Source organism: Homo sapiens, chromosome 14, assembly GCF_000001405.40.
Source record: "Homo sapiens chromosome 14, GRCh38.p14 Primary Assembly".
Taxonomy (NCBI): domain Eukaryota; kingdom Metazoa; phylum Chordata; class Mammalia; order Primates; family Hominidae; genus Homo; species Homo sapiens.
In genome coordinates, this window is record NC_000014.9 from 80,365,223 (window position 1) to 80,386,605 (window position 21,383).

The 21,383-nt window shown below is 38.7% G+C and overlaps 1 long non-coding RNA gene across 1 annotated transcript in view; it reads left to right on the plus strand.

Annotated features, from left to right (window-relative positions):
• DIO2-AS1 (DIO2 antisense RNA 1) overlaps positions 1–21,383 on the plus strand; it is a 244,049-nt gene that overhangs the window by 153,804 nt on the left and 68,862 nt on the right. Inside the window, exons 4-5 of the long non-coding RNA NR_038355.1 lie at positions 8,165–8,374; positions 20,626–20,694. This is a non-coding gene — a long non-coding RNA (DIO2 antisense RNA 1). The remainder of the gene's footprint in view (positions 1–8,164; positions 8,375–20,625; positions 20,695–21,383) is intronic.

Below are 21,383 nucleotides of genomic sequence, written 5' to 3' on the forward strand. Positions count from 1 at the left end.
ACCTAATGACCTCATTTTAATTAAATTACCTCTTTAATGATGCTGTCTCAAAATACAGTTAAATTCTTAGGTACTGGGGGTTAGGATTTCAACATATACATTTGGGGGGATTTTGGGGGCACACAATTTAGCTCATAAGAAGCACAGTAAGCAGACATCCATACAGCAAGTTAATAGCAGAGGCAGGATACATCCCAGCCCTGGGCTAGGGTGACATAGCCATGCTGTCCCTGAGAGAGGTAAACAGAAAAATAAAGTTTAATGGATCACATGGAATATCCCACTTACTTTTGTTTAAGTCAAACTATACCATCTTTTTCCTCCAGGAAAAAGGTTTCTGCGATTCTATAAGTATGACAATGTATTGTTAATTATAGCAAGTTCTTAGGTTCCCCAGGTAACTTTGAAGGTGGAATCAAAACATTTGTCCTATCCTCTAAATTGACTGAATCCACCATTCCTCAGTTATTACGCTACTCACCAGTGCTAAACCAACTTTGAGGAACTTCATTTCACTGTTTAGCTGACTCAGGAGGGGCTTTTTGTAATGTCTAGCTAATCTACAGCACAGCTCAGAATCTTCAGCAGCTAAAAAACTGCACTCTCCAGCTTTTATTCTAAAAAAAAAAAAAAAGTCTGCCAGCACTTTCAAAATGTATTTTGTGAGGTACACAAACATTAATATAAGAATAGCAAAGATCGTCCACCTCGTTGCTCTCCTATTAAGCAGATTCCCCTTTTACAGTCTCCCGCATAAGCAGCCTCTGCACTTGAGGTTTAGAGAAAACAGAATTGCATTGCTTTCTCTGCCTGCTGTACCGTGACTTCAACACCATCCTCCCCTTCCAACCTCCCCACCACAGCTACTCCCATGCCTGGCATCCAATTTTTCTCTGCCTGGACAAAACTTAAAACTCGTAATAAACACAAATAGGAGCTTCAGAATTGCTTATAATAGCACTCCCTAGTTATCATTATCATTATTACCTTCATTTATATTTTGAGTACCTATTTGAGATGTCTTCATCCACAGAAAGAAAACTCGGTGAAAAGATAGCAGGATCAAACAATACTCAGTTGTGAGAATCCAAATAAAAGCGGGTCTGAAAGATCAGGTTTGAATTTTTCTAGTTAAATTGCATATCATATTCAATTTCAAAGCTGGCTTGTGATATATTTACCCCAGTGTCTCATCCTCAATTTAAACTGTCCATGTTGTGCTGCCATGAACATTTAAGTACAGGGTTCCACACGGGCAACCCAGTAGTGCCATGTTTCAGCTCCAGCTTTGGCACCTCATTCAATCCTCAGTTACCACCTAACCCACTCCCTTAGTTCTCTCCTCTTTCTTCCACTACAAAGCTGATGCCTTGCTCTCCTTCAAGCTGGCGTATTCCCATTATACAAACATTACTGCTTTTACACCCAGCACCTGGATCTTGGTTTCTAATACCATTCTCCAACAATGGAACTGGGGCCGATTCTATGTCTGGAATACGGGGTATACAAGACGAGCCTAGGAGCATTCTGTAGTGTCAGAAAGTAAGGAAGTGCTAAAAATATTTAAAAATAAAAATATTTTTTAAAAGGATAGTTTATGTAAAAGGAACTAACCTGGAAGAGCTACAATGGCCAAAGCTGAAACGTTTTAACAACAAAATATAAAACATAGAATTAGATTATAGCACAAAGTATAAAATATACATGAGTCCATACTGATATAAATAAATGAGTGAATAAATACATGGAGGAAAAAAGACAAATCTTACATGAGGAAAAATTCTAAATAATACTTGTAGACACTACATACATACCTTTCCAGGAGGTGGAATTAACCACCCCCTGCTTTAAGGGTGAGAGCTGGATTTAGTGACTAGCTTACTGAGTATGAAAAGGCAAAAAACATAAACTTATAGTGGAGAAACCCAGAAAACACTAGCTAAAGGGAGTGATCAAGATTAACATCACCAATGAGCATTCATCTTGATACCATATACACACTAATATGACACGCTGAGAAAGGCATATTACCTCTGTGGTATGTGGCCCTCATACTCATAACCCCAATATAATCATGAGAAAAACAACAGACAAACCCATATTGAAAAATATTCTATAAAATATCTGCACTTCTCTCTTCAAAATTATCAAGGTCACAGAAAGCAAGAAAAGAATGAGAAACTGTCACAGACCAGGGGATACCATAAAAATGTGACAACTAAATGCATCGTGGTATCCTGGATTGACTCTGGGTACAGAAAAAGGACACTCTGATGACCAGTGATGATGAGCATTTTTTCATGTGTCTTTTAGCTGCATAAACGTCTTCTTTTGAGAAGTGTCTGTTCATATCCTTCACCCACTTTTTGATGGGGTTGTTTGTTTTTTTCATGTAAATGTGTTTGAGTTCTTTGTAGATTCTGGATATTAGCCCTTTGTCAGATGAGTAGGTTGCAAAAATTTTCTCCCATTCTGTATGTTGCCTATTCACTCTGATGGTAGTTTCTTTTGCTGTGCAGAAGCTCTTTAGTTTAATTAGATCCCATTTGTCAATTTTGGCTTTTGTTGCCATTGCTTTTGGTGTTTTAGACATGAAGTCCTTGCCCGTGCCTATGTCCTGAATGGTATTGCCTAGGTTTTCTTCTAGGGTTTTTATGGTTTTAGGTCTAACATTTAAGTCTTTAATCCATCTTGAATTAATTTTTGTATAAGGTGTAAGGAAGGGATCCAGTTTGAGCTTTCTACATATGGCTAGCCAGTTTTCCCAGCACCATTTATTAAATAGGGAATCCTTTCCCCATTGCTTGTTTTTCTCAGGTTTGTCAAAGATCAGATAGTTGTAGATATGCGGCATTATTTCTGAGGGCTCTGTTCTGTTCCATTGGTCTATATCTCTGTTTTGGTACCAGTAACGTGCTGTTTCGGTTACTGTAGCCTTGTAGTATAATTTGAAGTCAGGTAGTGTGATGTCTCCAGCTTTGTTCTTTTGGCTTAGGATTGACTTGGCGATGCGGGCTCTTTTTTGATTCCATATGAACTTTAAAGTAGTTTTTTCCAGTTCTGTGAAGAAAGTCATTGGTAGCTTGATGGGGATGGCATTGAATCTATAAATTACCTTGGGCAGTATGGCCATTTTCACGATATTGATTCTTCCTACCCATGAGCATGGAATGTTCTTCCATTTGTTTGTATCCTCTTGTATTTCATTGAGCAGTGGTCTGTAGTTCTCCTTGAAGAGGTCCTTCGCATCCCTTGTAAGTTGGATTCCTAGGTATTTTATTCTCTTTGAAGCAATTGTGAATGGGAGTTCACTCATGATTTGGCTCTCTGTTTGTCTGTTATTGGTGTATAAGAATGCTTGTGATTTTTGCACATTGATTTTGTATCCTGAGACTTTGCTGAAGTTGCTTATCAGCTTAAGGAGGTTTTGGGCTGAGATGACAGGGTTTTCTAGATATACAATCATGTCATCTGCAAACAGGGACAATTTGACTTCTTCTTTTCCTAATTGAATACCCTTTATTTCTTTCTCCTGCCTAATTGCCCTGGCCAGAACTTCCAACACTATGTTGAATAGGAGTGTTGAGAGAGGGCATCCCTGTCTTGTGCCAGTTTTCAAAGGGAATGCTTCCAGTTTTTTTCCCATTCAGTATGATATCGGCTGTGGGTTTGTCATAAATAGCTTTTATTATTTTGAGATACATCCCATCAATACCTAATTTACTGAGAGTTTTTAGCATGAAGCGTTGTTGAATTTTGTCAAAGGCCTTTTCTGTATCTATTGAGATAATCATCATCACTGGCCATCAGAGAAATGCAAATCAAAACCACAATGAGATACCATCTCACACCAGTTAGAATGGCAATCATTAAAAAGTCAGGAAACAACAGGTGCTGGAGAGGATGTGGAGAAATAGGAACACTTTTACACTGTTGGTGGGACTCTAAACTAGTTCAACCATTGTGGAAGTCAGTGTGGCGATTCCTCAGGGATCTAGAACTAGAAATACCATTTGACCCAGCCATCCCATTATTCGGTATATATCCAAAGGATTATAACTCATTCTACTATAAAGACACATGTACACGCATGTTTATTGAGGCACTATTCACAATAGCAAAGAATTGGAACCAACCCAAATGTCCAACAATGATAGACTGGATTAAGAAAATGTGGCACATATACACCATGGAATACTATGCAGCCATAAAAAATGATGAGTTCATGTCCTTTGTAGGGACATGGATGAAGCTGGAAACCATCATTCTCAGCAAACTATCACAAGGACAAAAAACAAACACTGCATGTTCTCACTCACAGGTGGGAATCGAACAATGAGAACACGTGGTCACAGGAAGGGGAACATCACACACCAGGGCCTGTTGTGGGGTGGGGGGAGGGGGGAGGGATACCATTAGGAGATATACCTAATGTTAAATGATGAGTTAATGGGTGCAGCACACCAACACGGCACATGTATACATATGTAACAGACCTGCACGTTGTGCACATGTACCCTAAAACTTAAAGTATAATAAAAAAAAGAAAAGAAAAAGGACACTCATGGAAAAATTGATACATTCTTAATAAAGGCTGGAGTTTAATTAATAATAATATACGAATGTTAATTTCTTATTTTCAGTCACATGGTTATATAAGATGCTGACATTAGAAGAAAATGAGTGAAGGAAACATAAGATTTCTTTGTACTACCTTTGCAAACTTTCTGTAAGCCTAAGATTACTATAAATGAAAAAGACAATTTTTTAAGAACTTAAATGTTACTTTTGCTGCTTAAAATTTTGTTCCCCTAAGACTTTAGTTTACCACTACAGAGTCTCCCTTTATGAAAAGGGTAGTGAAAACGTAGAAAAAGGAAGAACATTACTAAAATGAAGACACAACCTTGGGGGATAGAAGTATGCTCATCTCTGTATGTTTTATTATAAATAGATAAATAGATGTAGGTCTAGCTGATCATATACCACAAAATTGATACATTTAAAGTATAAAATTTATGGACAAAAACCAATGTTATACTTTTATTATGTATCATAAGATGATACACCATAAAATAGCATAAAATCAACATTTTTAATGTATACAATTCATTGGTTTTTAGTATATTCACAAAGTTGTGCAACCATTACTACTATAATTCCAGAACATCTTTATCATCCCCCCTCAAAAAAAAAACAAAAAACCATGCCCATTAGCAGTTAATCCCATTCCCTTTCCCATGGCCTCTCACAATCACTAATCTATTTCCTGTACTGTGGATTTAGCTACTCTAAACATTTCATAAAAATGAAATCATACAATATGCTGCCTTATGTGTCCAGCTTCATTCATTTAGCATAACGTTTTTAAGAGTCATCCATCTTGAAGCATGAGTCAGTATTTCATTTCTTTTTTTGGCTTAGGAATATTCTATTGTATGGATATACCACAATTTGTTTATCCATTCATCAGTTGATGGGCATTTGGGTGTTTTCTACCTTTTGGAAATTATGAATAATGTTGCAGTGAACATTCTTGTACAAGTTTTTGCGTGAATATACCCTTCTCTAGGGTATATTCCTAGGAGTAGGATTACTACATCATATGTTAACTTTATGTTTAAGCTTTTGAGGAACTGCCAAACTGTTTTTCAAAGTGCCTGTACCATTAATGTTCTCAGCAATGCCTTAGGGTTCTCAGCAATGCCTTAGGGTTCCAATTTTTCCGTATCCTTGCTAATACTCTTTTATCTGTCTTTTTTATTATAACTATCCTAGTGAGTGTTAAGTGGTATTTCATTGTGGTTTTGATTTGCACTTCCCTGATGGCTAATAACAGTGAACATCTTTTCATGTGCTTATTGGCAATTTCTCCATCTTCTTTAAAGAAATGTCTGTTCAAATCCTTTGCCCATTTTTTAGTTGGGTTGTCTTTTTATTGTCGAATTATAACAGTTCTTTATATAATCTGGATACTAGATCTTTATGAAATATATAATTTGTGAATATTTTCTCATATTCTGTAAGTCCTCTTTTGACTTTCTAGGTAGTGTCCTTTGATGCACAAAAGTTTTTAATTTCAATGAAGTTGAATTTATCTATTTGTTCTTTGATTTCTTGTACTTTTGGCATTATATTTAAGAAATTATTGCCTAATCCAAAGTCATATAGATTTACATCTATGTTTTTTTCCTAATACTTTTATAATTCTAGCTCTTACATTTAGGGCTCTGATTCATTTTGAATTAAATTTTGTAAATGAGGCTTCTCTACATGGGGTTTCTCTCCATGGTATGTTTCGTTTTCTTTATGTGACATCATGAACAATGATCGAACTTAGAATAAAAATTTCAGGGCTGACATATCTGTGCCACCAGTTCCTAGTGGTAAAATGGTCCCCCTTCTTTGATTTTCATTTTCTCCCCAGTAATGTGAAGGAGCTGAATATTCTCAGTGGAGACTGTTTCAGTTCTATCTGAGATTTTACAACCTCTAAAATTTGAGGTTAAATTTAAGAAATGAATCCCTATTTCCTAAAGTTAAATGCCAAAATTTTGTAGATGAAAAGATATAATGAATTTGCAAAATGAAAAATTAGGTGAGAGAGAGTAGTGGTATAGTTAGACAAAATAGGATTGGCCATAAATGGCCAACTGCAAAGTACATATGGGTTCATTACCCTACTCTGTTTTTTCAAAATAAGTTCCCAAAAAATTTCAATAAAAGAAACTGTTGTTCACTATTGCCACCATTTTGGGTTGCCAAGTAAAAACATTTTTTTTTAAAAAACTGCCATCTATTATCATTATCATTTCATAAAAGTTTGATCTATACCAAATAATAGGAGCAATATTATCTTTATATAAAGAAAATTTCCTTAATTTGGGAAAAAATTAGCTTTATGCAAAACCTATTTCCTTGTTCTTGTAATTTTCACTTGGTCATGAACCAGTACTGTTTCCCAACCTGATGTTTGGGAAGCACTGAATCAGATCACAACTCTGAGGCATTAGAACCACTTAGGCTCAGGTGTATGATTTAGTCTACATTTTGATAAACATAAAGAACAATAGCAAGGGTGGGAGGAACTAGGTGTTCTCAGATGGAATCTTGTTGATGCCAAGCTTTCTTACAATAAGCCAGAGGGTGTTGGGCTGTAGGACACCAAGTAAAGCTCCACCTTTATTCACAATTTGTTAACAGTAAATTTTTCATGAAGCACCCATGACTATAGACTAAGTCAAAGTAACTATGAGAGAAGGGAAAAGTAAGAAGAAAAATTATCATATTCTTTTTGGAGCTTTTGTTAGATTTTTTAATTTGAAATTATACATGGGCTTAGATGCATTGTAGTAAGTTTTAATTATATGTCTTTAATTGAAAATTAATAAAATTGTAGTAATAGACAAAAAATAAAGTCCTTTAATGACTTTTTAATGATTAATAGTGATTAATAACTAATGATTTTTTTCTAATAATAGAAAATAAAGCCTATAAATGATCTCTGTAGAGGTCATTTATAAGATCCAATGTGCTGGAATTGCTCATGTTAGAAACCTCCATGGTATGATAATGTTGGTCTTACAAATGTATTGAGGGAAGGGGAAAAAATTAAAATTGTCAAATCAAAAATTTAAAAAGCAATTAGATTTTTTCTTTTCTTTGACCTCCTAATGATCTCTAGCCAAAGCAAGTTAGTGTCTCCACTGACTCAATAAATTTGAGCGCTTTTTTCTAAGCAAGGTGAACAGATTCATAAATTCTATAAAAGTGAAATTGAACATCTATTATATAGCATTTTGTACTCAAGAATGAAATGAGCATTATATCAGTACAACTTTGAGCTAATCCTAAATTTCTTTATATCGTTAGCATTTAGTATCAGTTGTTATACATCTTCTGGGTGTTCCTCTGACCTCTCCTCTTCTTATTATTATTCTCTCCTGTATCACCTTTTTGGAATATCAAGTTCTCATGATCTTAACTCACAAAATTTGAATTTACAAAGTACTTATTTTTGAATCATCATGCAGTGTAATCCTGTAAAGTAGATCCTTTGTAACACATACATTTTATAGCCTAGAATTCTGAAATACTGATATATTAATGAGCTTCTTTTTTTTAACTTCCTTCCTTTTTTTCTATCCCCACATATCTTTTGCAGCCAGCTCTCCTCTACTAGAGTTTGGAAGACTTTCAACCAATCAGTCGTTCAGAAAATAATACTGGATACCTACTAAGTTCAAGGCATTGTTTGTGCTATATGAACACAGCAATGAACAACAATAATAACAATAAATAAACAAAAACTCATCTATACTCATGGAGTTTACAGTCAAGGGGCCAAGAGAGAAAATTAAGAAATAAAATGAATGTAAGTATATGTTGTGAAGTGTGTGAGAAATGTTACATGCTATATATGGGAAATAAGAAAAGACTGATAATGTGGAGATCAACTGGAAGAGAAATACAACTTAATAATGGGTAGTCAAAGAAGGCCTCCTGGAAAAAAAGGTATTTGAGCCAGTACTTGAATGTCAAGAAGGAGAGAGTCAATCGAAGGTCTAGAAAAGGCAGAGGCATCTGCAAGTGCAAGGCCTTGGAACCGGGAGGAGCTCAGCATGTTTAACGAAAAGGGAAAAAGCCATTTTAGCTGAAGTAAGTGGAAGGGGCTGAGGTCAGATGGTTGTCAGGGCCGGATCACAGAGAAGTTTGCAATGGGAAGTCATGGAAGGTTATAAGTCAGAAAAGAGAACCAATCTATCTTTTTAAAAATAGAGACAGCATCTTACTGTGTTGCCCAGGCTGGTCTTGAACTCCTGGGCTCAAGCAATCCTCCACCTCAGCCTCCCAGAGTGCTGGGATTATAGGCATGAGCATTTATGTCTGGCTGAACAAACCTATATTTAATGGAATACAAAGAGTTTTAATGTAGTGACATAAAAATCAACACTAATTTAGCCTTCTGATTAGCCCTACTGTGACATTTATATCCTATATTTGGTTCACAAGCTTTTCTCTTGTACCCAATTCACATCTTGCACCCTGACAACTAGCTTCTCAGGCATGGTCAGGAAGGAAGGATCCCATGAAGAATATTTTGCAATATTTCCAAAAATATTGCATGAAGGACAGTCTCACTCTCATTTCTTTCTTTCTTTTTATTTTTTTTAGACAGAGTTTCATTCTTGTTGCCCAGGTTGGAGTGCAATGGCATGATCTCGGCTCACCACAACCTCTGCCTCCCGGGTTCAAGTGATTCTCCTGCCTCAGCCTCCCGAGTAGCTGGGATTACAGGCACGCGCCACCACGCCCTGCTAATTTTGTATTTTTAGCAGAGATGGGGTTTCTCCATGTTGGTCAGGCTAGTCTCAAACTCCTGACCTCAGGTGATCTGCCTGCCTTGGCCTCCCAAAGTGCTGGGATTACAGGCATGAGCCACACCACACCCGGCACTCTCATTTCTTTCATGCAATATTTTAAAATATGGAATCCGTCCTTAATTTTTTAACCCTTTCAAAGGCTGGAGTCATGCTAACTAAATCCCTATCATTCAGCTCGTGTCCCATACCTATTGTGAAGATCCTGACGTGCTGACCAATTCGACACTGACGGGCAGTAGAACTGTCATGATGTTGTACAACTACCATGTTCCCTTGTGAGGCTGGACATCTTTCTCAGCTGTTTAGAGTAGTGCCAAAATACCCATCTCCTCACCCCTCTATCTATTCACCTGAGTGAGCAGGTCAAGGAGTTTGGACTTCTGAGCTGACTCCATTTTCTTGGTGCCTAACCCTCCTGGTCTGGCTGTCAGGCTGCTCCCTGAGCTCAAAATTTCCCTTACAAACATAAAACACACCTACAGGCACAGGCGAAATCCAGACAGATTACCATTCCAAACTCAAGAATCCCTGATATAAATTGAGTTACTGATCCACTTGCCTTTTCCAAAGTTTATAACAGTCTGCCCTATAAATTTAGCATTATCTGAGTAAATGGTTATTAGAATTTTCCACTATTATGACATAGAAGTAATGACTTTATTTTAATTGTTTTGTTGCATTAAATTTGAACATGCAACAAAATAGTATTTTATTCAATAGATTTTACAGTATTCAAAAGAGAAGTGTTCCCTAAATTTAGGAACCTAAGAGCAAATATCAGAGTAGTAATTCAATAACAGTGGCCTCGTCAGTCAGAGGGGGTTTCTTTGAGGTCAAGGTTGAGATATTTTGGCAGCAAATGGTATTCAGATGGGTCCACAGATCAAACCTCCTTGACCGTGCTACAGTCACCCTGGATAAAATACTAAAAGTGTGGGGGATGGGACACATATGTAATTATGATACTAGAATGAGCTAATCAGCCTCATCGCAGTTTGTCTTTTTGGGAGAAAGGAACAACTTACTCATCTTCTGAAACATGGTAAGATGGGAGACTTCCACAGAATCCAAATGTTTGTCAGAAAATATAAGCATTTGTCTTTTATTTAGCCTCCCACATCCACCCTCCCTTCCCCATTCATACTTTTGCTGAAGCAACAAGTGTCCTTGACCCATACTAAGGCCACTAATATGGCATTGGTTACAGAAATGCAGACAGAAACTAGCAGGATAACAGGACCAGTGTTCGTCAAAGTGTGACGAATCCCTTTAGAATCCCACTTGTGACGTGGTGCCCAAATGTCATATGAGACCAACTGAGTCAATCAGAATTTCTGGAGATGGATCCAGGAAGGCTGTATCTGAGGGAGCATAGGGTTCAGGAAGTTAACCTTACTGACTCTAACAATAGTAAAGTTTGAGAAGTATTAATAGTGGATACTTAGCAAAGACAGAGAGAGCCCCAGAGGTGAAGCTGATGTTGGCAGAAGGTGAGGAATCTTGGCACAGAAAAAGAATTCAGGTGGCTGGGCACGGTGGCTCACACCTGTAATCCCAGCACTTTGGGAGGCCAAAGAGGGCAGATCGCCTGAGGTCAGGAGTTCAAGACCAGCCTGACCAACATGGAGAAACCCCATCTCTACTAAAAATACAAAATTAGCCAGGTGTGGTGGCACATGCCTGTAATCCCAGCTACTCGGGAAGCTGAGGCCAGAGGATCACTTAAACCTGGGAGAAGGAGGTTGTGGTGAGCCAAGATCATGCCATTGCACTCCAGCCTGGGCAACAAGAGCAAAACTCCACAAAAAAAAAAAAAGAATTCAGGAAGAATTTGGTGTTTGAACTGAGAGGAAAAAATACTAATTTATATCATCTTTTGTTGTGGAAAAGGTCCTTTCCTCACACATGCTTCAGAGCCTGAAGGAGCAACGTATAAGCTGCTAGAGACATGGCCCTTGACTTAGGGCCATGACTTAGAGTCACTCTGACCTTGAGGACTAGAGTTAAATTAAATTCGCACATGCCACAAAAATAGTATTTTAGTCAACAAGTTTTATGCAATATTCAAAAGAAAAGTTTTCCCTAAATTTAAGAACCTAAGAGCAAATATCAGAATCATAAATCAATAGTAGTTGCCTCATCAATTACAGATGGGTTTCCCTGAGGTCAGGGTTCTCAATAGCAGTGGCCTCATCAATCACAGATGGGTTTTTTTGAGTTCAGGGTTCTCTGTTCCCAAGGTTAGAGTGACTGGAGGAGCATAGGTTGGAAGAGGCATGATGAGCACAGAAAGACAGAAGAGAAAGAAGGGTAATCTGATAAAAATGAGATGTGTTCTTCTGTGGCCATAAAATGAATAGCTAAGGGGTGCAGGACAGGCTTACATGACACCAATGCACAAAACTATACAGAAAGACTCCTGCCATATGATCAACAAGCACAAAAAATAAAGATACTTTCTCCACTCTAGGGGAGGTAAAAACCAGGTAGAATGACTTTGCTCGGCATAACCATACTGACTAAAATGAAGGATCTATTTGTTTTGAAAGCAGAAACTACAGCAAGGAAACCCCATGTATCTACAGCAGTGATAATGCCCATCATATAGACGAGGTGAATGAATGTGAGGAGTTTAATTTTTCAGTGTGTATTAATAATTAACCTGCTCATTAGCTTTATTAGACAGAATTAGTCCTGCACTGAAGCAGAGCAACCGCAAGGCAAATTATTAAAATAACTGATGAAACTTTCCTTCTTGACTTTAAAAGATGAAGTTTGGCAGCTCCAGATAATTATATGTCTAGTATGAGAAAAGAATAGAGTGTTTTTGTCTTGAAGAACTGGAAAGGATGACTGATGCATTAAAATAAAGATGGGATTATTTGAGTACAGAAGTAGGGTTTAATTTGGACACTATGAAGAAAAAATATTTTAAAAATAGATACGTTATTTAGCATTGATGGAACAAGTATTCTACCTGGAACATGAGGCCACCACATTGCTGGTCACTACTGTTTTATGCTACATTTGGTAAGAAGACTACAGCAGTGTATGTGTGTATGAATACATTTATGCAAATTAACATTTTGAAAACTATATTTGACAGGGCTTTAGTCTCTTGAGTCTTACAGATTTAATAAATGAATGAAGCTATCTTTCAAAAAATCAATACTTGAAATTTGACACAAGGAAATTGAGGAAGAATAAAGTTTGCCAAATATAAAAATAAGTGATATTAAAGAGGATTGCATGTAATATTTTATCTTACCTTTTCACTCCCACCCCAAACATATTATCAAATACTTTTAAGGTATTATGAACAATGGCCCAGCTCCTTTTTGATTCTGGGTTATCTTTGCTGATTTATGCCCTGGAATATTAGAGATTAAAAAAATCAAAATATCTCTTTGAAAAATGCCTGGCTCCATTGATTTTGTGGAGAGGCTCTTGCTTGTCTGAATTTAATTTAAATGTAGTTCTTTGTTATTGCTTCAAGAGGACAACAGTCATTTCTAACAAGCACAAATTATTCAGAGCATGACCCCAAATGCTGTATTTCAAATAGCAAAAGAAAACAAGCTATCCTCTAACCTACTTCACATTTCAGGAAGAGAAGCTGCGTGAAAGGAGAGCTGCAAAAGGACAACTTGACCCAGAGAGAGTCGCCCTCACCAGGGCCCTCCTCCCGGCTTCACTGGGTCTCTGGATGGGCCAGTTGCACAAATACAAGAAGATCAGGCCAGCATCCTGGAAGTGGGGAGGGGACTTGGTATCACCCTCCTTGGATAGGTGTTTGCCAAGTTCTAGTTAACCCAGTTACAGTAAAGCCATTGTGGACTCTTTAGTGGAGCAAGCCTCAAATCTACATGGCATTCACGATTTTTCGATGGCCCTGGCCACAGCCAGTAACTGCAATTTAGTGGCTTACACATTACCATGAAAGGGGGCGGGCAAAGGCTCAAGAGCAATGGATTTTTACGGCAATAGGAAATAGAACACATTTTGTGCAGTCGCCAACTCCTTTGCATTTCTGAGGATGAAATGCCCCCTAGATCAAAGTGACAAAGTGGTTAGGATATTCACGGGACAGAAGACAAAAGGAGTTCGTTCACTGCCAAAAAGAAAAAAAAAAAGCCTTCTGTTAAGTATTTAGAAGTTTAATAACAGTACTTACATGAGAAGCAGAATGCAAGAGGGCAACTTGAAAGTGTGCACAGTTAAACAGGAGCTAGCCATTTTCCTTCACACAGGCAGGAAGCTTACCTTCATTCACTCGTTCATTCCCCAATATACATTGAGCACCTACTATATGGGACACTGCATTTGGTATTATAAGAAGTACAAATGTGCATAACAAAGCCTCTACTCTTAAGAAGATGGTGGACATTCAGGGAAGCTAATGAAGTATATGCACAAATCAAGGTGTCAGACCAACTATATAGCACTTGCAAAGGAGATAGGCAAAAACTGGTTTTGCAATCTTAGCCCAAGACAAGCCTCAAGAGGGTAAAAGAGGTTACAGAGGCAAGGAAAGAGACAATTTCTTTGGAGGGATTTGCTAGAATTCTGTGCATTTCACTCTTCACTTGCCCCTACTTTGCAATGGAAAAGTTGAGGGCTACTCCCTCCTTACTTCATGCCAAGTGAAAGATGCTTTAAGAGAACCACTTGGGGAGCTTGGTCTGTTTCTCTTTAGAGTCTGTGGTGGATATGGGTCAAATGCAAGGCCTACAATTGAAAAAATCTCCAGGCAAGAAGCTGGATGAAGCTGCTCATAGTGTCCAATTTGAAAGCTGTATAGACAATAAACTGTGCTTCCACCGATGAAAAAAAAAAAAAAACAAAAATGAGGACACATACATGTTTCCTGAATTCTACATGTGGTCCATAGCACATGGGAAACACCTGTCCTAGAGTTGTTGAACAGATAATTTACCCAAGAGGGCTACCTACAGAGAAAATGGATTTAAAAGGAAGGGAAAAGGATTAAAGGAATGGAAAATATAGAAGCCTTCTGCCTGTATTTTAAGGAGATCATCACACTTAATTCAGTAGTTATAGTATATTAAGGTAGAAAGTCTAAATCTCATTCAGATATGTAAATATACAGTGTTATGAGGGAAAGGTTTTTTTAAGATCACCTAAGACTTGTTAAACACTACTAATGCATGGCTAAATAAAGTCTGGGCCTAAAGAGGTCCTGTCTATAAATCCAAGAAGTCAAATGAAAAGTGCAATTTTAAGTTGTCATCCAGATATTTAGATTTCAAGACTCCAGGATTTTGGAAACTTGCAGATTTTGGAAGTTTGAGAAACTATAATTTTTATCTACATGTCTAAAATATTAAGAGACGACATGAAGAAAAAAATGCAGACTCAGACTTAATCTAAACAGATTTGGTTCTTTACCATGAAAAACCCTTAGAGTGACACCCTTAAAGAGTGATTCCTACAGGGAATTATAGAAGTCTTTTGTCCTCGGCCTGGCGTGGTGGCTCACACCTGTAATCCCAGCACTTTGGGAGGCAAAGGAGGGTGAATCATTTGAGGTCAGGAGTTTGAGACCAGCCTGGCTAACATGGCAAAACCCTGTCTGTACTAAAAATACAAAAATCAGCTAGGTGTGGCAGTGGCGTGCACCTGTAATCCCAGCTACTTGGGAAGCTGAGGCAAGAGAATCGCTTGAACCCGGGAGGCAGTGGTTGCAGTGAGCCAAGATCGTGCCACTGCACTCCAGCCTGGGTGACAGAGCAAGATTTTTTGTCAAAAAAAAAAAAAGAAGAAGAAGAAGAAGAAGTTTCGGTCCTCTTTCTTGGAGTTGCTGAGATGAGATAGAGGAGGGAGCGATTAAAGCATCTTCTCTAGTCTTAGTTCCCCTTCTTAGAATGGAGAGGGGAGGATATTCAGGAAGCAAAGGCCAAACCCTGGCTCCATACCCCAGCTCTGCTTCTTCTTTACCCTTTAGGAAATTCCCCTCCCCACTGTCTTGCTTCTCTACCCCATTGACTGCTTGGCCAAACAGGCAATGGCCCCAGGAGTCCTCTCCAGGCTGACGCCACAGTTTGCTGCAGTCCACAGGTAGATAAGGTATAATTCAGAGGTTGTATAGTCTATCCCCCTCTGTTCTGAGGCCCAGAGAAGTTAAGTAGCCCAAATATCTTAGCATACTGGTCAGAGACTGACAGGAGAGTTCTGATCTTCTGCTTCTCCAGCAGAACTCTTTAACTATACTACCTTAAATGGAAGGTATGTAGGAAGGGCCGTGGGGTCACATGTAGCCACAAACACACACACACAGAGTAGGTAAACATGCCCCTTCCCCATCCCGGATGGTAGTTAGAGGCCACTGTTTCAAGCTATTTTATTTGGTATTAGACAGCACCCCCTGTCCTCCCCCCACCACACACACAAGTAATTTGGAAACATCAAAGAAAATTACAGAATCATTTCATATGTTATAAATCTGTACCATGTGTCATGAATCAAACAATTGATTAAATAAACTGGGGATGTCATGAAAGTCTCATTAACACTCATGTCATCTCTGCCTAGAAAAAAATCAATCAAGTACATTCTAGAAATAAAACATATTTTCTATAATCCCCAATCATCTGCGATTCTTAGTGTACAAATGTATACAATTTATGCAATTACTTGCACACTCAAGACAAATATATCAGGCAAAGGGCCACGAGATTTTCTGTAGAGGCTGCACCAGAGTTAATTTTGTTCCCTGTGGGGTTCCCATTCGTATAATGGTGCACGAGTCCATGTCCTTCCAGGAACCATTCTGAAATAAGTTTTAAGAGCAGCAAAGTCCTTGCTCTGCAATGTTATTATAATTTCACACCAGTACCTGCAGGCCTTTAGAGACAGGGTCCTTGCTCTAAAAACAAAACACTGAACAGGACTGGCTACTAAAGGAGTCTCCTACACTTGTAGGGGGTGGACTCCTTAACCCATTTATGTCTAGTGTTCCATTATTGGAACGCTAAGCTTGTGGGAGTTACTTATATCCTACTGCTCAAGGTCATCGCCATGGTCTGATTTTTCACACACACAAAAAAATTTGCAACCTCCAGCATAAATGGGTTAATTTGATCACAGAGATTAAACCAAACAGCTCAAACAAAACACCTGGTTCTCTCTCTCTGCTAATTGTTCTTTCAATGGCAAAAAAGCAATTTTTTCCATAACATGAATAATAAAAAAAAAAATGTACTAATGAGATTTACGCAATATTGGAAAGAAGAATTATGAATAGGTAATTACACTTTTAGGAGATTTACAGATTTCAACCAGTTAAGCCCTGGGGCATGATTATCTCACTAGCCTTGTGCACTGAGAATAAATATAGAATAGAATGGGTGTGACCAGTGAACACTACTTTTTGCCAAAAACTTGTAAAGAACAAGCTGTGGACTCAGAAGGGTATGTACCAAAGGTTGCCTAAATGGATTTCACGCTTATGAAAGGCAAGCGGCCCCTGGCACAGTAAGCGCCCCATGTCAGAGCCATTTGCATTACCTGCCACATTGCCAGGCTCCCAAACAAACCACATTGTCTCATCCCTGTCCCTGGCCTCCACTTCTCAGAGTACTTCATGTTCTTTCTATTCCACACTGAATCTACTGACCTACCTTTCCCTTGGGCTGCCTCTGTGGCTTGTTCCTTAGCTGTCCCTGGAAATAGATTTAATCTCATCTACTTTCACATGAGCAAAGGGATCCTTCATGGCCCGTGGAAGATTAAACCCACTATCTTGGCTTCAATTACATTCCTCCAAAAGAGAGAGAGAGCTAGAAAGGGCACGGGGCACTGCTTGGGAGGAGCACTCATTGAGCAAGAAGAGTGAAAAAAGGAGCAATCGTTCAGGAAGAACCCTTTCATCAACAATGACTAACATTGAATGGGCCCCCACTAAATGCAAGGCTCTATTCTAAGAGCTTTACCTTTATCAACTTATCTAATTCTCTCAACAACCTCATGAGATAGACCCTACTAGAATCCCCATTTGATAGAGAAGGCAATAGAAGTACAGAGAAATAAAGTCAATTATTCCAGATTAGGATGTTGGAGCCAGGATTAGAATGCAGACAGTCCTGCTCAATAATCATAATAAAGCCAATTGAATACTTAATTAGTTCAATTTGTGTTAGTTATGCACCAAGCATTGTATTATAGAGTTATATGTATGATCTCATTTAATCTCTACAACGCCATGAAGTTGGTACTAATATGATGTCCATTGATACGTTGTTTTTATTTAACCTCCAAAGTTCAAAACTGTTAAGCAATGGAGCCAGGATCCCAACCAGGGTTAGAATAAAGAAACTATTTTTTCTCCTATTACCAGCTAGTCGCTAGAGATGGAGTGAGATGCTTAAAAAGACATGGAATGCCCTACTACGGGAGATGGTCAAGGAGGCACCAGGCATTTACTCAAATGAGATACCCTTTTAAAGTTATTTCCATATTTCCATATAGCTAGGAATGCATGCTTTATATTCATTTGCATTGGTTTTCATGTCTTTTCTGTACCCTTTTCCTACCAGGTTTCTATTTACTCACCCTGAGGCTGAAAACTACTGGGTTTTCTTTTTCCCTGTTTATTCTCTCACCATATGTAGATGCCATGTTCAATAATTCTTTCTGCTGCTATTGCTGCTACAGCTGAGAAGTTTGAGATGATGGAAGGCCCTGAAAAACAAGTCTGAATTGTCTTCTTACAAAACAGACATTTCCTTGCTTAGTGTTTTCTGCCCAGAGTGAGGAACATGTTGTTCAGACTTGTAATGAACTGGGTGCTCCTATAACAGTAGAAGTGCCGCACCCAAGCATCACATCAGGGCTGTTTTCCTGCTCTTCAGATCTGGATCTATAGGGTAATGTGAGGTTCTGGCATACTTGGAACCTTGTGTTCAGTCATAAATTAAGAAGAAATATATTCCACACTGATGAAAAGTCATCAGATTCTAAATCCATTATTGCAATAGAGTCAGTTTCTTTATGAGGGACGACATCATAACAAGTAGAGTGATAATTATTACCTAATATTTATTAAGCATTTACTATGTGCCACTCTACTCAGCACTTTACAGTTCTTTCATTTAATTCTCATACACAAAAGAAAATCCAAATATGTACTGAGAACCATCACCAGGTTACAGATGAGGAAATTGAAACTTAGGACGGTTAAATAACTTGTTGAGAGTAACATAGCTGTGAGGGGTGAAACCAGTACTTAGAAACAACCACTGGACTCTAACAAGCCTCTTAACGACTATCGAACATGGCCTCCCACCATCTCAATGTGATCAATTAACATAGCATTGCAAAACATGGTGTCTTAGTCCTTTTGAGCTGCTATTACAAGATATCATAAACTGAGTGCCTTATATACAAAAAACATTTCTTTCTATTTTTTTTTTTTTCTTGAGACAGAGTTTTGCTCTTGTTGCCCAGGCTGGAGTGCAGTGGCATGATATAGGCTCACCACAACTTCTGCCTCCTGGGTTCAAGCTATTCTCCTGCCTCAGCCTCCTGAGTAGCTGGGATTACAGGCGCCCACCACCATGCCCGGCTAATTTTTTGTACTTTTAGTAGAGACTGGGGGTTCACCATGTTGGCCAGGCTAGTCTTGAACTCCTGACCCAGGTGATCCACCCGCCTCAGCCTCCTAAAGTGGTGGGATTACAGGCATGAGCCACTGTGCCCGGCCAACAGACATTTATTTCTTACAGATCTAGAGGTTGGGCAGTCAAAGGTCAAGGCACTGACATATTCGGTGTCTGTTTCCTGGCTCATAGAAGGTGCCTTATTGCTATGTCCTCACATGGTGGAAGGGTGAACTAGCTCTCTGGGGTCCCTTTTATAAGGGCACTAATTCCATTTAGGAGGTCTCAGTCCTCATAATGTAATTACTTCCTAAAGGTACCACCTCCCAATGCTATCACCTTAGGGGCCAGGATTTCAACACACGAATCTTGGGAGGACGTAAACATTCAGTCCACTGCCATCTCCAAGTGCCATCTGAGGTATCTGAATCCATAGCATTTGTCTTGAAGCCCATCTTTCATGGGAACCTCTTCTCTCCTCATATGCTTATTTAATTACAGCTAATCATCCTCAGGAGTACAGTTTGAAGAACTGGAGGTAGGATCTTATTTAAAGTACAAGAGGTCTTGCTTTAGAACACATTGATTTTGTTGTTGTTTTTGTTAGGAGGAGGCAGTTTAATTTTGTTTTACATCATTGAGGCTAATCTTGTTAAGGTCTTAGTTTCAGAAACATGGCAAAATTTTTTTTTTTAATTTTAGCCACTTTCTTTTTGCATAAAAGTTTTAGGTTTTTTTATGATACTGACACCCAAGACCATAGAAGTAAAATAACATTTTAAATATTATATATAAAAGGACAAGAGTACATTAGATGAAAGTTTATCCATAAAATTTAAGACTATAAAGACAGATCCAGCTAAATAAAGATGTATACAATCCAGACACAAGACTGATGTAAAATGAAAATACTATGGAAATATTATCCTAAAACTTCCTTAGAAATGAGTTTTCCCATTACTCTTGTTTCCACACGAAAAAAGATAAGGCCCACCGTGTGGAAGTAACTTGTTTAGGATAACATTAGTAATCGGGGCCTGATTTTGTCATCCAGTGTCATGCTTGTTACTTCTTCTCCTCTTGCATTTTTTGTTTCCTATTTAGTTTTCTCCCTGACCCTCTTTCCTCATTCTCTTCACCAAATGCAATCTTTCATTAAAGAGCATGCTGGCTCATTCGGCAAAAGATCTACATTCAAGTTCCACCTCTGCCACAAGCTCCCTGTGGAACAAAGCATCTGCCCTGGTGCTGCCTTGCTGTAACTTTGCTCAGCTGCCTCTCTCTCTCTCATTGATCCCCAAACAAGGGCAGTGCCTGCACTGCTGATGGATGTACCCTAGAGCACAGTCTGCATCAACAGGGACAACTGACTCTCTCTCTGAATTTCACAATTCGGGAAGCCCTTGTCTCTCAGCTAGTTACTTTTTTAAGCACCTGGAAATCACAGGCAAGTGATGCAAAATGTTCTCTCGATAACAAGCCAGAGACAAGATTAAATATTGGTCTTTCTCATGAACATTCAGCCAAAAGTCAAACATTACTTTCCCCCTTTACTATGGTGAAGTAAAATATTTGTGTCAGATGTCTCCAGGGCATTTCCTCACTTTAGTTCTTTCTTTACATAGGAACTCCTCAATCTGAACAGATCAATGGTGTTCATCAACCAATGTCACGATTTGAGCAGCCAATACCAGGTACGACCCTAGAAGCTTCTTTTGCCTTCTTCACACACTGGAAGGGCAGAGGGAACTTCTTTGCAAGTACCAGTGAGGAAGAAGGGGGGTTTTGTGCCTTCTGCAGCTATTGGAAATCTTCTTATACTATCTAAGGCAGTGCCTGCTTCATCCACATCATGTCCCTAACTGCCACTTGGGATGGCATCTGCCAGCAGTTCTCTGAAACAGGTTCAACTAGTAAAATCAGTTAATTGCCAAGCACAGATTTTCATGACCCTGATGCTTCCATTAGAAAAAGGTCAAAACCCTGCCACTGAAAAGAGGTGTCAGAAAACACAGGGAGGTGGTTCTGGTGCAATGATTCCAGCAGCAGACAAGTCTTTTGTTCAACAATTATAGCTTACTTGTCCATGTTATGGATTGGATTGTGTTTGCCCAATATTTGTATGTTGAAATCCTAACCCCCAGCACCTCAGAAAGTGACCTAATTTGGATGGGGTTGTTGCAGATGTAATTAGTTCAGATGAGGTCATACCGGAGTAGGATCAGCCCCAATACAATATGACTGGCGTTCTTACAAGAAGACACAGACACAGGGAGAATACCAGTGCAAAGGGGAAGGTAGAGATCAAAGTGATGCTTCTACAGGCCAAGGAATGCCAAAGAGTGCCAGGAACCACCAGAAGCTAGGAGAGAGGCATGGAATG